Source organism: Homo sapiens, chromosome 3 (genome assembly GCF_000001405.40).
Source record: "Homo sapiens chromosome 3, GRCh38.p14 Primary Assembly".
In the NCBI taxonomy this organism is placed as follows: Eukaryota; Metazoa; Chordata; class Mammalia; order Primates; family Hominidae; genus Homo; species Homo sapiens.
Window position 1 is genome coordinate 51,500,452 of NC_000003.12, and position 13,915 is coordinate 51,514,366.

At 49.2% G+C, this 13,915-nt stretch overlaps 1 protein-coding gene and 1 long non-coding RNA gene across 7 annotated transcripts in view, besides 1 other annotated feature; one reads left to right on the forward strand and one right to left on the reverse strand.

The window, feature by feature from the left end:
* The window catches only part of DCAF1 (DDB1 and CUL4 associated factor 1), a 109,773-nt gene extending 104,585 nt beyond the window's left edge, over positions 1-5,188 (reverse strand). For all 6 annotated transcript variants that reach the window (XM_005276755.6, XM_047449273.1, XM_047449272.1 and 3 more), the window contains exon 1: positions 5,074-5,188. The gene's annotated coding sequence lies outside the window, so the exon portion shown is untranslated. The remainder of the gene's footprint in view (positions 1-5,073) is intronic.
* Positions 1,706-1,805: a silencer, noted in NCBI's record as "silent region_14414". NCBI's record gives its function as "represses an Ori minimal core promoter by ATAC-STARR-seq in GM12878 lymphoblastoid cells {active_cell/tissue: GM12878}" and the evidence as "EXISTENCE:reporter gene assay evidence [ECO:0000049][PMID:35858748]".
* A 1,430-nt stretch (positions 5,189-6,618) lies between the features above and the next one.
* Positions 6,619-13,915, forward strand: part of LOC105377085 (uncharacterized) — a 29,600-nt gene continuing 22,303 nt past the window's right edge. Inside the window, exon 1 of the long non-coding RNA XR_940835.3 lies at positions 6,619-6,907. This is a non-coding gene — a long non-coding RNA (uncharacterized LOC105377085). The remainder of the gene's footprint in view (positions 6,908-13,915) is intronic.

Here is a 13,915-nt window from a genome sequence, read left to right on the forward strand (position 1 = left end):
ACATACCGTGATCTAAGAAAATATTTCTCATAAACATATCAGAAATCACAGCACTCATTAAATCAGAAGGCACTGGTTGTTTTTTGTTTGTTTTGTTTTGTTTTTTTGAGACAGAGTCTCGCTCTGTTGCCCAGGCTGGAGTGCAGTGACGATCTCAGCTCACTATGACCTCCGCCTCCCGGGCTCAAACAGTCCTCCCACCTCAGCCTCCAGCTGAGACTACAGGCGCATGCCACCACACCCAGCCAATTTTTGTTTCTGTTTTGTATGTGCGTGTTTGGTAGAGACATGGTTTTGCCGTGTTGGCCAGGCTGTTCTCGAACTCCTGGGCTGAGTTCTCCCAGCCTCTTTTTTCTCTGTCTTTTTTTTTTTTTTTTTTTGACAGGGTCTCGCTCTGTCATCCACGCTGGAGTGCAGTGGCGCGATCACAGCTCACTACAGCCTCAATCAACCTCCTGGGCTCAAGCTATCTTCTCACCTCAGCCTCCCAAGTAGCCGGGGCTACAGGTGTGCACCACCACACCCGGCTAATTTTTAAAAATTTTTGTAGAGACGAAGTCCCACTGTGTTGTCCAGGTTGGTCTTGAATTTCTAGGCTCAAACGATTCTCCTGCCTCGGCCCCCCGAAGTGTTGGGATTACAGGCATGAGCCACTGCACCCAGCCTCTGTCTTTTTGTTCAAGACCTAGCCTGTAAGAATCAATAGATACTTATTGCCAGGTTATTATACGTGAGGCAGAGAAGTGAAAAATCAAAAGCTCATAGATTAAGGCAGGACTGACCTCACAGGTCACTTAATTCAATTTCTTCATGTTGTTGGGAAAAATGAGGCCCAGAGGGAGTGAGCGACTTGCCCAGCATCACACAACCAATTAACAGCAGAACCAGAGGACTCCTTACTCTGACCAGCAGTCCCTCTTGTGGGGCATAGAAGATAAACATGACCCACAGTTGAGCAGAATCTCGACCTGACAAGATCCTACCCAGCGTTCAAGGCCTTATGCAGCTCATTATCTCTCCGGGAATGCTGAGCAAGTCTCCGTGCATCTCCATGAGTCTTCACGGCAATACTGTCACATGAATACAAGACACAGCAAGCCTGCTGCTATGCTCAGGCTCGACAGCTAGTAAGGATCCTGAATCCTGGGTCCCTTGGTTTCATTCCCCACTAGATCCCATTTCCCTCTTTCCAGAAAAGGGACCATCCTCCTTCTCTTAAATGTGTAACTTGGAGCTACTGCTCCAAGCAGAGATTCTCTAATATGTGCTGGGAGCGCCACAGACATGTCACCTTTCTTCACTTCTTTCTCCTGCCACAACACACAGGTCCCTTCTCTGTGCTTCTGGAACTCTACCTCTGTCAGTAATGGCCAGTACCATTTCTTTCAACTTCAGAGCATGCTGGGCCCTGAGCCAAGTGTTCCAGCCACACTCTCTCATTTAACCCTCACTACCCTGCCACACACACAGGGAAGATATGGTTAATCACCTTTACAGATGAGAAATCTGGACCCAGAGAGGTAGAACAAGGAATGGAACCCACATGCCATTCCTCCAGCACTCCTTCAGGTGACTTTCCTGCCATGCCTCCCTGGGCCATGAACCTAAAATGTATGAGGATGGGACATTTAAGCCTTGGATATCTCCCCTCTGACTATGGTCTAGCCGGCCCAGTGGTGACTTCTCCGCTGGCTGGGGTCCTAAGAGGCAGAGCCCTTAGGGGAGCTCAAGGCTTAGCTCACGCGCTCCTGGCACTGCCTCAGTCTGCCACCAGATGGCACTGCTTCATTTCAGAAACCCAACCTGGTCAGAGCACTGTGGCTCATGCCTGTAATCCCAGCACTTTGAGGGGCTGAGAATCTCTTGATCCCAGGAGTTCAAGACCAACCTGGGCAACATAGAGAGACACCCCCACCCTCACCCTTGCTCCACTGTCTCTACAAAATATCTTAAAAATTTGCCGGACGTGGTGGTGCATGCCTGTAGTCCCAGCTATTTATGAGGCTGAGGTGGGAGGATTGCTTGAGCTTGGGAGGTTGAGGCTACAGTGAGCTGTCATTGTGCCACTGCACTCCAGCCTGGGTGACAGAGAGAGACTCTGTCTCAAAAAAAAATTTTTTTTTAATTTTTTTAAAAAACAAACCCAGCCTGGGGCCCTGGGTTGGTGATGGGAGCAAGAAGCATTAAGAAGGGGCTTTGGAGAAGCCAGGGCCTAGGAGGCAGGGGAAGCAGGGGAGGAGACAAACAAGGCCTCTCCAGCAGCCACGCCCTCAGGAATCTGCACTCTTAACTCCTGCAGCCTCCTCTACCCCTGCCAACACCTCCCCCTCCCCAACATGCACATAGCCACACACCTGCAGACACCTTCAAACACCTCCTTCCCACTTCTGGGAAAAAGAAGAGGGAGCACCCAGGCTTTCCCAACTGCACACGCATTCCAAGTGTGCTTGGTGGCATATTTCACAGATACCCACATGTGCCAGATATACAAGCATGCACACTGTGCATTAGGCACCCAGTCCTCACAACAAATACTTTCACATCTAAGCATATGCACACACAAAGCTACAGACAATCCAGGCCCACACACCTGGCTTGGTTGTGGCACATGGGTCCTGCACCATTGGGAGGAGATTTATTGACCTCTTTGGTAGGACATCTCTGGACTCCGTCTCACCTTGCTCTGCCTGTTCCACCCCCTGCTCCATGGTGTGCCCAAGAAAGAGGAAGCCCCATCTGAAAGAGTGAGGAGTGCTTTGGGGGCTGCCCAGCAGCAGAGAAAAGGTAAGAAGAGCCCAGCCCTGGCCCCAGGACCAAGGCCTACAGATTAGCATGCTCTACCTACTCCCACCTCCAAGCACACCCACTCCCTGGGTAGGAAGATGGACAGCACCAAGTCCTCTAGGCTTCAAGCTTCTCCTTCATTCTCCTCCTTCTCCCGCTCCCATCCTTCTATGAGCTTTTCACTCCCAGCACCTCCTTCTAGGCTTACCCAGGTGCTCCCACAAGCCCATCCTCACCCTGGTGCCACCCCACAACTCCTGCGCTTCCTCCAGCAATTCCCTTCCCTGGGGCTGGGAAGTGAGGTCAGCTGTCCCATATCCACCCCTGCTCTCCTGTTGGCTAGACAAGACTGCTACTGCAAGTGTCCAGCAGTGTCGCAGGAGCCACCAATTAGAGGCTTAAGGCTACCAGGCTTTGGGAACACCAGCCTGGACAAAGAGGAAATCCCAATCATTCACTGGGTACCCTACTCCTGCCTGGTGGCCCCTGTACCCCACCCCCAGAAAATGAGGAGAGGGAACGCCACATCATTTCCCAAAGGGTGTGTAATTATGTCTGATTACATCCACATCCACTACTCTCACTTTACAGAGAAAGAAACAAATTCCACAAAGTCAACAACTTAAGTGCCCACATCGATCAGTGGGCACAGATAAAGAGGAGATAAAAAAGCAAGCATACCTAGCCTCTTTTGCCTCAGGTTCCTGGGGTTGGAAATCCTTCCAGGAGGAAGAGTGGAGTCAACATTGGGGAGAGAGTCTGTATTGGCCTTGGCTCCAAGCTCTCAGAAGCCCCTGAACATTTTTTTTTTTTTTTTTTTGAGATGGAGTCTGGCTCTGTCGCCCAGGCTGGAGTGCAGTGGCACAATCTCAGCTCACCGCAAGCTCCGCCTCCTGGTTCAGGCCATTCTCCTTCCTCAGCATCCTGAGTAGCTGGGACTACAGGCGCCCGCCACCACGCCTGGCTAATTTTTTATATTTTTAGTAAAGACGGGGTTTCACTGTGTTAACCAGGATGGTCTCGATCTCCTGACCCCGTGATCCGCCCGCCTCTGCCTCCCAAAATGCTGGGATTACAGGCGTGAGCCACCGCGCCTGGCAACCCCTGAACTTTTATTTATTTATTTATTTTGAGATGGAGCCTCACTCTGTCCCCAGGCTGGAGTGCAGTGAAGCAATCTCGTCTCACTGCAACCTCTGCATCCTGGGTTCAAGTAATTCTCCTGCCTCAGCCTCCTGAGTAGGTGGGATTACAGGTGCCCGCCACAACACCTGGCTAATCTTTGTATTTTTAGTAGAGATGGGGTTTCACCATGTTGGCCAGGCTGGTCTCGAACTCCTGACCTCAAGTGATCCACCCACCTTGGCCTCTCAAAGTGCTGGGATGACAGGTGTGAACCACCATGCTTTGGCCACTCCTGGATTTTTAGAAAGACCATTCTACAGGATTCAGGGAATAGACCATTCTACAGGATTCAGGGATCTCTGGCCTGACCCATTTGAAGGTACTCTGGAGACTGCTGGGGCAGACCCTCATGATGACTCAGGTCAGAAAGAGTTTACCACTCTATCAGTTATTTCATTTCAAGAAGGCCTGGGCCTGGCACGGTGGCTCACACCTGTAATTCCAGCACTTAGGGAGGCTGAGGCAGGTGGATCATTGAGCCTAGGAGTTCAAGACCAACCTGGGCAACATAGTGAGACTCTATCAGTATAAAAAATAATAAAAATAAAAATAATTCTTACAGCCAGGCGTGGTAGCTCACGCCATAATCCCAGCACTTTAGGGGGGCAAGGCAGGTGGATCACCTGAGGTCGAGAGTTCGAGACCAGCCTGGCCAGCATGACAAAACCCCATCTCTACTAAAAAATTACAAAAATTAGCCAGGTGTGGTGGTGCATGCCTGTAATCCCAGCTACTCAGGAGCCTGAGGCATGAGAATTGCTTGAACCCAGGAGGCGTAGGTTGCAGTGAGCCGAGATCACACCACTGCACTCCAGCCTAGGCAACAGAGTGAGATTCTGTCTCAAAAAATAATAATAATAAAAATAAAATTAATAATAATTTTTTAAATTAAAAAAAGAGAGGGCCTACAGAAGAATGGCTTTGTTGAATGGAACAAATTCAAAGGTCAGAGACCCACCACACCAACCGAAGTAAATACTTCTACCATGGGCGTATCCCTCTTGGAGATGTTGCCAGATACAGCCTGGGGTACCCAGTTAGGCCTGGGAGCCAAAGTCATCAAGACGGGAGTTTCTAGGTGTAGAGGGTGTCATGGGCTCTTACCGTGGGGAAGTTCTTCATCCCTTAGAGGTGGCGATGTCTCTGTGTGAAAAGTCTCATGATGTTCCTGAGGGGAGCCCCCTCTGCCCTGCTCCTGCTTCAGCAGGTCCAGGCTTCTGACAAGATAGCCTTTTGTGAAGTCACAAAGCTGGTTGCCTCCCCACAGGACCAGGGACCAGGACAACCAGGGACTAGTGGGCATGACTTTAGGGGAGAAGGGACTTCACAAGCAGCCTGTAGGCTCTGGAGAGGGGTGTGGGGTCTGGAGGGGCTCACTGGACCAGTCTCAGGCTGTAGTGGGTGAGGAGGGTTATTGGAGACTCAGGATGGGATCAGTTTCTCATGTCTCAGTCATCGCCAAAAGATAAGAACAGTTGGGGCCTGAGCCTGTATTCCTTGACCATTATCCCATCCGTTGAGACCCTAGGGCCAGAGGAGCACCCTTGCCCCTTTTGAATATATATAAGGGTCCTGATCACTGATGTTCTGGGTCATCCCTGGAAAAAGGAGGTTAAGGCCCCTGAGCCAGGGACCAGATCTTCTCCTCAGTGCCATCCCTCTGTGACCATTCAGTTTCTTTTCTTTTTTCTTTTTCTTTTCTTTCTTTTTTTTTTTTTTTTTTTTGAGATGGAGTTTCACTCTTGTCGCCCAGGCTGGAGTGCAGTGGTGTGATCTTGGCTCACTGAGACCTGCACCTCCCGGGTTCAAGCGATTTTCATGCCTCAGCCTCCTGAGTAGCTGGGATTACGGGTGTCCGCCACCACACCTGGCTAATTGTTGTATTTTTAGTAGAGACGGGGTTTCACCATGTTGGCCAGGCTGGTGTCGAACTCCTGACCTCAAACGATCCACCTGCCTTGGCCTCCCAAAGTGCTGGGATTACAGGCATAAGCCACTGCACCTGGCCTGACCATCCATTTTCTACCTGTTTCCTGGGCAAGCACATTCTGCCAAATTCTGCTACATTGAAAAGTGGCCCTGGTAGCCTTGGGGCACCCCTACCTGTTGGATTACGCAGAGGAAGAAGAGTGTCAAGAGAAGAAAGTGGAGCGCTCAGTGCCCACTCTCTCCAGAGGGTAGAGACTCCCACCTCCTGAAGAGGCAATTCAGGGGAGAAAACAGAAAACAACCCGGGGAGAAAGTGTCATTCCACAAAATGTGGAAACTCAGTTACTGCCTTGGAAGGTCACACTTCGTAAGCGGGGCATGGGGGCAGCCACTGAATGGAAACCTTGTTTTAAAAACAAGTTGCAAGGCATGGGTGGCTCACGCCTATAATCCCAGCACTTTGGGGGGCCGACGTGGGCAGATCACCTGAGGTCAGGATTTCAAGACCAGCCTGGCCAACATGGTGAAACCCCGTCTCTACTAAAAATAGAAAAAATCAGCTGGGCACTCCTGTAATCCCAGCTACTCGGGAGGCTGAGGCAGGAGAATCGCTTGAACCCCAGAGGCAGAGGTTGCAGTGAGCCAAGATCATGCCACTGCACTCCAGCCTGGGCGACAGAGAGAGACTCCCTCAAAAAAAAAAAGAAAAAAAGAAAAAAAAGAAAATCAAATGAACAAAAATGTGTCTTAAGTTAGGATTCCCGAGCCCTTGCCCTGTGCCTGGCCCTGTACCCTGTGTCTTCAGTGCTGCGGAGAATGCAGCACAGACCCTGCCCTCAAGGCTTACAGTCTAAGGCCTGAATGACTATGCCCAGCTCCCTCCCTTAAAATGAAGGCTGCTATTCCCAGAAGTCAGGGGCAGCCTGGAACCCAAGAGCCTTGTATCCCTGTCCAGGGCATTACATTTCATGAAGGCAAGAACAGACCAAATCCTGTGGACTTTTGGCAGGTAAGCTAAGACAGCATCTCACTGCCTCTCAGGGTCTGCAGGTCTGGGTCTTGGTGTCATTAATTCTGTTGAGAGTTGCTCACCACCATGTGTCTCCTCCAGACCAAGGAGACATCTTGGCTATTTTGTATTCAAGCCATGCCTCCACTGAGGGTTTCTGCTGTCTGCTCTATGGAGCCAGCAGGCATCCTGTGGGACAGGTCTGGTGTGAGGTACAAGAGACTAGAGGTGACCCTGGGCAAGTTTCCTCATACATCCCCCATAAGGAGGGCTTTACTAGATCTATGATTTTCTTTCTTTCTTTCTTTCTTTTTTTTTTTTTTTTTTTTTTGAGACAGAGTCTTGCTCTGTTGCCCAGGCTGGAGTGCAGTGGTGCGATCTTGGCTCACGGCAACCTCCACCTCCCCGGTTCAAGTGATTCTCCTGCCTCAGCCTCCCGAGTAGCTGGGCACACGCCACCATGCCCAGCTAATTTTTGTATTTTTAGTAGAGATGGGGTTTTGCCATGTTGGCCAGGCTGGTCTTTAACTCGACCTCGTGATCCACCCACCTCGGCCTCCCAAAGTGCTGGGATTACAGGCGTGAGCCACTGTGCCTGGCCTAGATCCATGATTTTCAAATTATATTAGTATTATGATTTTACCACAGAGTCTTTTTAGTCCCACTGAAATCTTGTATACCTCTTCATTAAGTAGAGAAAAGGAATGATGCAAGGGATTCTAGGTCATGATGTGGCAGAAAAACTCCTAGTGTTACAAGGAATGCAGTTTAAAAACCATGCACCAGCCGGCTGAGCACGATGGCTCATGCCTGTAATCCCAGCATTTTGGGAGTCCGAGGCGGGCAAATCACAAGGTCAGGAGTTCAAGACCAGCCTGGGCAATACGGTGAAATCTCTCTACTAAAAATACAAAAAAAATTAGCCGGGTGTGCTGGCGGGTGCCTGTAATTCCAGCTACTCCGGAGGCTGAGGCAGGATAATTGCTTGAACCTGGGAGGCGGAGGTTTCAGTGAGCAGAGGTCGAGCCACTGTACTCCAGCCTGGGCGACAGTGTGAGACTCCGTCTCAAAAAAAAAAAACCATGTACCACATGGCTTCCAGACCCTTTCAGGTGCTGTGAATCTGTGACTGCAAAGTCCAGATTATGAAAGATGGGAACAGGACAAAGAATGCCACATGTAGTGGCCACCTCAAGAGTTCTGCTCTGAATATTTCCGCTGCAACTACTCATTCCTGGTTCCAGTTCAGCTTATTTCCAGCCACCAGCGTGTCCCCAGCCCACCTCTCACCTGGCCCTCTGCTCCTACCTTTGTTCCTCTCTTGCAGGCTCTGAAATCAGCATCTAGGCCTTAGGGGCTCAAAGCCCACATGGGTTCTAAGTCAGGAGTACAACAGTCACCTCTCTGTACCTGAATCCAATAGGCAGGAGACAGGAGGCTTTCTCCAGGTAACATTCATCTTTGCCTAACTCTCTTCCGAGATCCCTGTAGTCTCTGGAATTGTCCTGGTCCTTTTTTGGATGCAGGGCATATTTGATTTCATGGGGCTGCCAACCTCACCTGCCAGAAGATGCTCAGGACAGCCAGGATGCAGTATAAAACCTGCCCTCTCCAATTTCTTTTCTCCTAAGATACAGATCAGAGGGAAGACGGGCAAGATGGGCTTCCCACCCCACAAGGCAGGCATGTCTGAATTCTATGAGCTTTTGTTTCAAATAATTTATGAGAAGCATCAGGGCCTTGGCTCATTCTAAGAGCAAGTCAGGAGAGCAGAGTTATGGTGCCGTGAGCCTTGTTGCAGGGAAAGGGAGCTGCATTATAGCTGAGAGCAAAGGCTGCTCTCTGCCTTGTGGCTAGCAAGGCATGGCAAAGAAAAGCGGACATTCCCTAGGGCCAGGCATGGTGAACGAACAAGACAAGCTGACAGGCTAGTACAAGGTTCTCAACCCTGGCTGCAATTCAGATCACCTGCAGAGCCTTTATGAACCTCTAGTGTCAAGACCCTACCCCAGTTCAATTAAGTCAGAATCTCTAGGGCACAGGCAACAATGTTTTCCAAAGCTCCCCAGATAACGAATACTCCACTAAGGCAGAGAACCTCTGGTCTAGGAGGAAAGACTGGCATTAAACAGGATGTGGGCGGGCCGGGTGTGGTGGCTCACTCCTGTAATCCCAGTACTTTGGGAGGCTGAGGCGGGCAGATCACCTGAGGTCAGGAGTTCAAGACCAGCCCAGCCAACATGGTGAAACCCTGTCTCTACTAAAAATACAAAAATTAGCTGGGTGTGGTGGCAGGTGCCTGTATTTTTAGTCTCCACTAAAAATACAAAAATTAACCAGGCGTGGTGGCAGGCACCTGTAATCCCAGGTACTCAGGAGGCTGAGGCGGGAGAATCATTTGAACCTGGGAGGCAGAGGTTGCAGTGAGCCGAGATTGCGCCATTGCACTCCAGACTGGGGGACAAGAACAAGACTTTGTCTCAAAAAAAAAAAAAAAAAAAACAGGATGTGGGCATGATGACCTTTACCCTGAGGTGGGGCCTAGAGGCCTAAAATGTGGGGTGTGGTAAGCTGGACCTTTCTGCTCCTGGAGGCCACAGGGCTCCTTCTTACCCACCCCTGCACATCCTCCATACACATCCCACACACACACCCAGCACCTATTGTGGGGAAAGCAAAACAGAAGGCTCAGGAACCCAGCTCCAGGGAGGGGAAGAAGCATGCACTCTAGGTTAGAATCACGACCCTGAACTCTCTAGTTGTGTGGCCCTGGCAACCTTTGAGCCTCAATTCCTCCTCTGTAAAATGGACATAGTAGGCCGGGCACGATGGCTCATGCCTGTAATCCCAGCACTTTGGGAGGCCAAGGGGGTGGATCACTTAAGGTCAGGAGCTCAAAACCAGCCTTTCCAACATGGTGAAAGCCTGTCTCTACTAAAAATACAAAAATTAGTTGGGTGTGGGTGGCGTGTGCCTGTAATCCCAGCTACTTGGGATGCTGAGGCAGGAGAATTGCTTGAACCTGGGAGGCGGAGGTTGCAGTGAGCCAAGATCACGTCACTGCACTCCAGCCTGGGCAACAGAGCAAGGCTCTGTCTCAAAAAAAAAAAAATGGAGGTAGTAATACCTGCTTTGAGGGTGGTTGCAAGGAGGGCAACGGGAAGCACTGGCTTACAGAAAGGGCTCCAGAGATGAAGCTGCTAGCAGCAGCAACCACAGCCCCAGCTCCCTCTGTCAGCTTGGACAAAGCTCTAATGATCATCCACCCAGTCCCCTTGTTTTTCACGTGAAGACCTCAGTGTCCAAAGGAGAGAGGTTTGCTCCAGACACGCAGCCAGCAAGAATCTTAATCTCCCAGGCAGCTTCACATCACAGCAGTTTTTTTGTATTGAACTTTAGCTTTCATCTCTCAGCAAAACTCCTAAAATTACTATAGGGGCTTCTTCTCTCTCTCTGTCTTTTTTTTTTTTTTTTTTTTTTTACTCTGTCACCCGGGCTAGAGTGCAGTGGCACGATCATAGCTCGCTGCAGTCTCAACCTACCAGGCTCAGGCAAATCTCCAACCTTAGCCTCCCTAGTATCTAGGACTACAGGCACACGCCACCATGCCCAGCTAGTTTTTTTTATATATTGTTTATTTTTTGTAGAGACAGGGTCCCACTGTATTGCTCTGATTACAGGTGTGAGCCACCCTACCCAGCCTACTGGGGCTTCTAAAGCAGCAAGCAGGGATTTAAAAATACCTTTAGGCTATCTTATCTGAGATGCCTGATTGATCCTTGAAGTAGAAGGTGTGTTCAGCCAGTCTGACCACTTGGCTCCAGTCCCCTTTGATGTTCCTGATACAGAGAAGAAGGTTCATTACCTCAGTGGCAAGGGTGTGGCCATCCCAAGGCTGATGATTACATAAGAAGATGCCACTCTGCCTGGGCTGAGGTTAGGAAGTGGGTAGGGTAGGTAGGGAAGAGAGATGCTGGGTTTTCCATATAAGCCTTTTTTGTATTCTTTGACCTTTTTTTTTTTTTTGAGACGGAGTTTCGTTCTTGTTGCCCAGTCTGGAGTGCAATGACGCGATCTCGGCTCACCGCAACCTCCTCCTCCTGAGTTCAAGCGATTCTCCTGCCTTAGCCTCCTGAGTAGCTGGGATTACAGCCTAATGCCACCATCATACCCGGCTAATTTTGTATTTTTAGTAGAGATGAGATTTCTCCATGTTGGTCAGGCTGGTCTCAAACTCCCAACCTCAGGTGATCCGCCCACCTTGGCCTTCAAAAGTGCTGGGATTATAGGCGTGAGCCACCGCGTCCGACATATTCTTTGCCTTTTAAGCCACTGAGTATACATGGCTTTTTTTTTCTTTTTTGAAACAGAGTCTCACACTGTCACCCAAGGTGGAGTGCATGGCACAATCGCAGTTTACTGTAGCCTTAATCTCCATGCTCAAGTGACCTCCCACCTCAGCCACCCAAGTAGCTGGGAATACAAATGCATGCCACCATGCCCAGCTAATTTTTGTATTTTTTGTGGAGACAAAGTTTCGCCATGTTGCACAGGCTGGTCTCGAACTCCTGGGCTCAAGCAATCCGCCTGCCTCAGCCTCCCAAAGTGCTGGGATTACAGGCATGAGCCACTGCACCTGGCTGAGCATGTACCACTTTAATAAAAATAAAATTACACTGAAAAGTAAAGCATAGGCCAGGTGCAGTGGCTCGTGCCTGTAATCCCAGCACTTTGGGAAGCCAAAGCAGGCAGATCACCGGAGGTCAGGAGCTTGAGACCATCCTGGCCAACATGGTGAAACACCATCTCTACCAAAAATACAAAAATTAGCCAGATGTGGTGGCAGGCTCCTGTAATCCCAGCTACTTGGGAGGCTGAGGCATGAGAATCGCTTGAACCCAGAAAGTGGACTTTGCAATGAGCTAAGATCGCACCACTGCACTCCAGCCTGGGGGATAGAGCGAGACTCTGTCTCCAAAAAAAAAAAAAAGAAAGAAAAGAACAGTAAAGCTATACATGTCACTATATATTTGTCAAAACCTATAGATATACAACACCAAGAGTGAACCCTAATGTAGACTATGGATTATGGTCGATAATGATATATCAGTGTGGGTTCATTGATTGTAACAAATGTACCACTCTGTTGTAGGATGTTGATAATGGAGGAGGACGTGCATGTGTGAGAGCAGGGGCATATGGGAACTCTGTACTTTCTGCCCAATTTTGCTATTAACTTAAGATTGCTCTAAAAAAAAGTAGTACAGCTGACTCTTGTGTGGGGGTTAGGGGTGCTGACCCCCCACCACAGTAGAAAATCCATGTATAACTTTTTTTTTTTTGAGACAGTCTTACTGTGTCACCAAAGGCTAGGGTGCAGTGGCACAATCTCAGCTCACTGTAACCTCCGCCTCCCAGGCTCAAGCGATTATCCTGCCTCAGCCTCTCAAGTAGCTGGGATTACTGGTGCCCACCACCATGCCTGGCTAATTTTTGTAGTTTTAGAAGAGATTGAGTTTCACCATGTTGGCCAGGATGGTCTCCAACTCCCGACCTCAGGTGATCCGCCTGCCTCGGCCTCCCAAAGTGCTGGGATTACAGGCATGAGCCACTGCACCTGGCCCCGTGTATAACTTTAGATTCCCCCAAAACTTAGCTACTGATAGCTTACTTTTGACCAGAAGCCTTACTGCTAGCATAAATAGTCAATTAACACATATTTTGTATGTTGTATGTATTATATTCTGGTTTTTCTTTTTTTTTTTTTTGAGATGGAATTTCGCTCTTATTGCCCAGTCTGGAGTGCAGTGGCACAATCTCGGCTCACCGCAACCTCTGCCTCCCAGGTTCAAGCAATTCTCCTGCCTCAGCCTCCCCAGTAGCTGGGATTACAGGCATATGCCACCACATACCGCTAATTTTTGTATTTTTAGTAGAGACGGGGTTTTGCCATGTTGGCCAGGCTAGTCTCGAACTCCTGATCTCTGGTGATCCGCCCACCTCAGCCTCTCAAAGTGCTGGGATTACGGGCATGAGCCACCAAGCCCGGCCTATATACTGTATTGTTAGAATAAAGTAACTAAGGAAAATAAAATGGTGGCTGGGGCCAGGTGCGGTGGCTCAGGCCTGTAATCCCTGCACTTTGGGAGGCTGAGGTGGGTGGATCACCTGAGGTTGGGAGTTTGACACCAGACTGGCAAACATGGCAAAACTCTGTCTCTACTAAAAACACAAAAATTAGGTGGGCATGGTGGCAGGCACCTGTAATCCCAGCTACTCAGTAGGCTGAGGCAGGAGAATGGCTTGAACCCTGGAGGTGGAGGTTGCAGTGAGCGGAGATGGTGCCACTGCACTACAGCTTGGGTGACAGAGCCAGAAAGAAAAAATAAATAAATAAAAAAGAAGGAAAAGGAAATGGCAGCTCTGGGAGGCTGAGGCGGGAGGATCCCTTGAGGCCAGAAGTTTGAGACCAGCCTGGGCAACACAGCAAGACCCCGTCTCTACAAAAAGGAAAGAGAAAGAAAAAGTTAAGAAAATCAAGCCAGGCATGGTGACCCTCCTATAGTCCCAGATACTCAGGAGGCTGAGGCAGGAGGATCTGAGCTCAGGAGTTTGAGGCTGTATGGCAACATAGTGAAACCATGGCTGTAAAAAAATTAAAGGAAGGAAGGAAGAAAGGAAGGAAGGAAGGAAAGAAAGAAATTCATAAGAGAATATATATTTACAGTACTCTATTGATCAATATCATAAGTTTACATTATCTGTTTACAATGATGTCCGACTGAAATGAGGGGTAACCACAGCCGCAAACCTCAATTAAGGAATTCAACTTTTTCTTGTAATGTCATGACTTTTCTCTGCTTCTTGGGAGCGTTTCCAGCATCAGTAGTGGTACTTCATATGGGTCCCATGGTGTTATTCGAAGTTTACGGTATTGCACTTAACAAGATGAAAAATACAAGAGAATTGAGGGAGGTCACTTTTAGTGCTATACACAATTTACTGGAG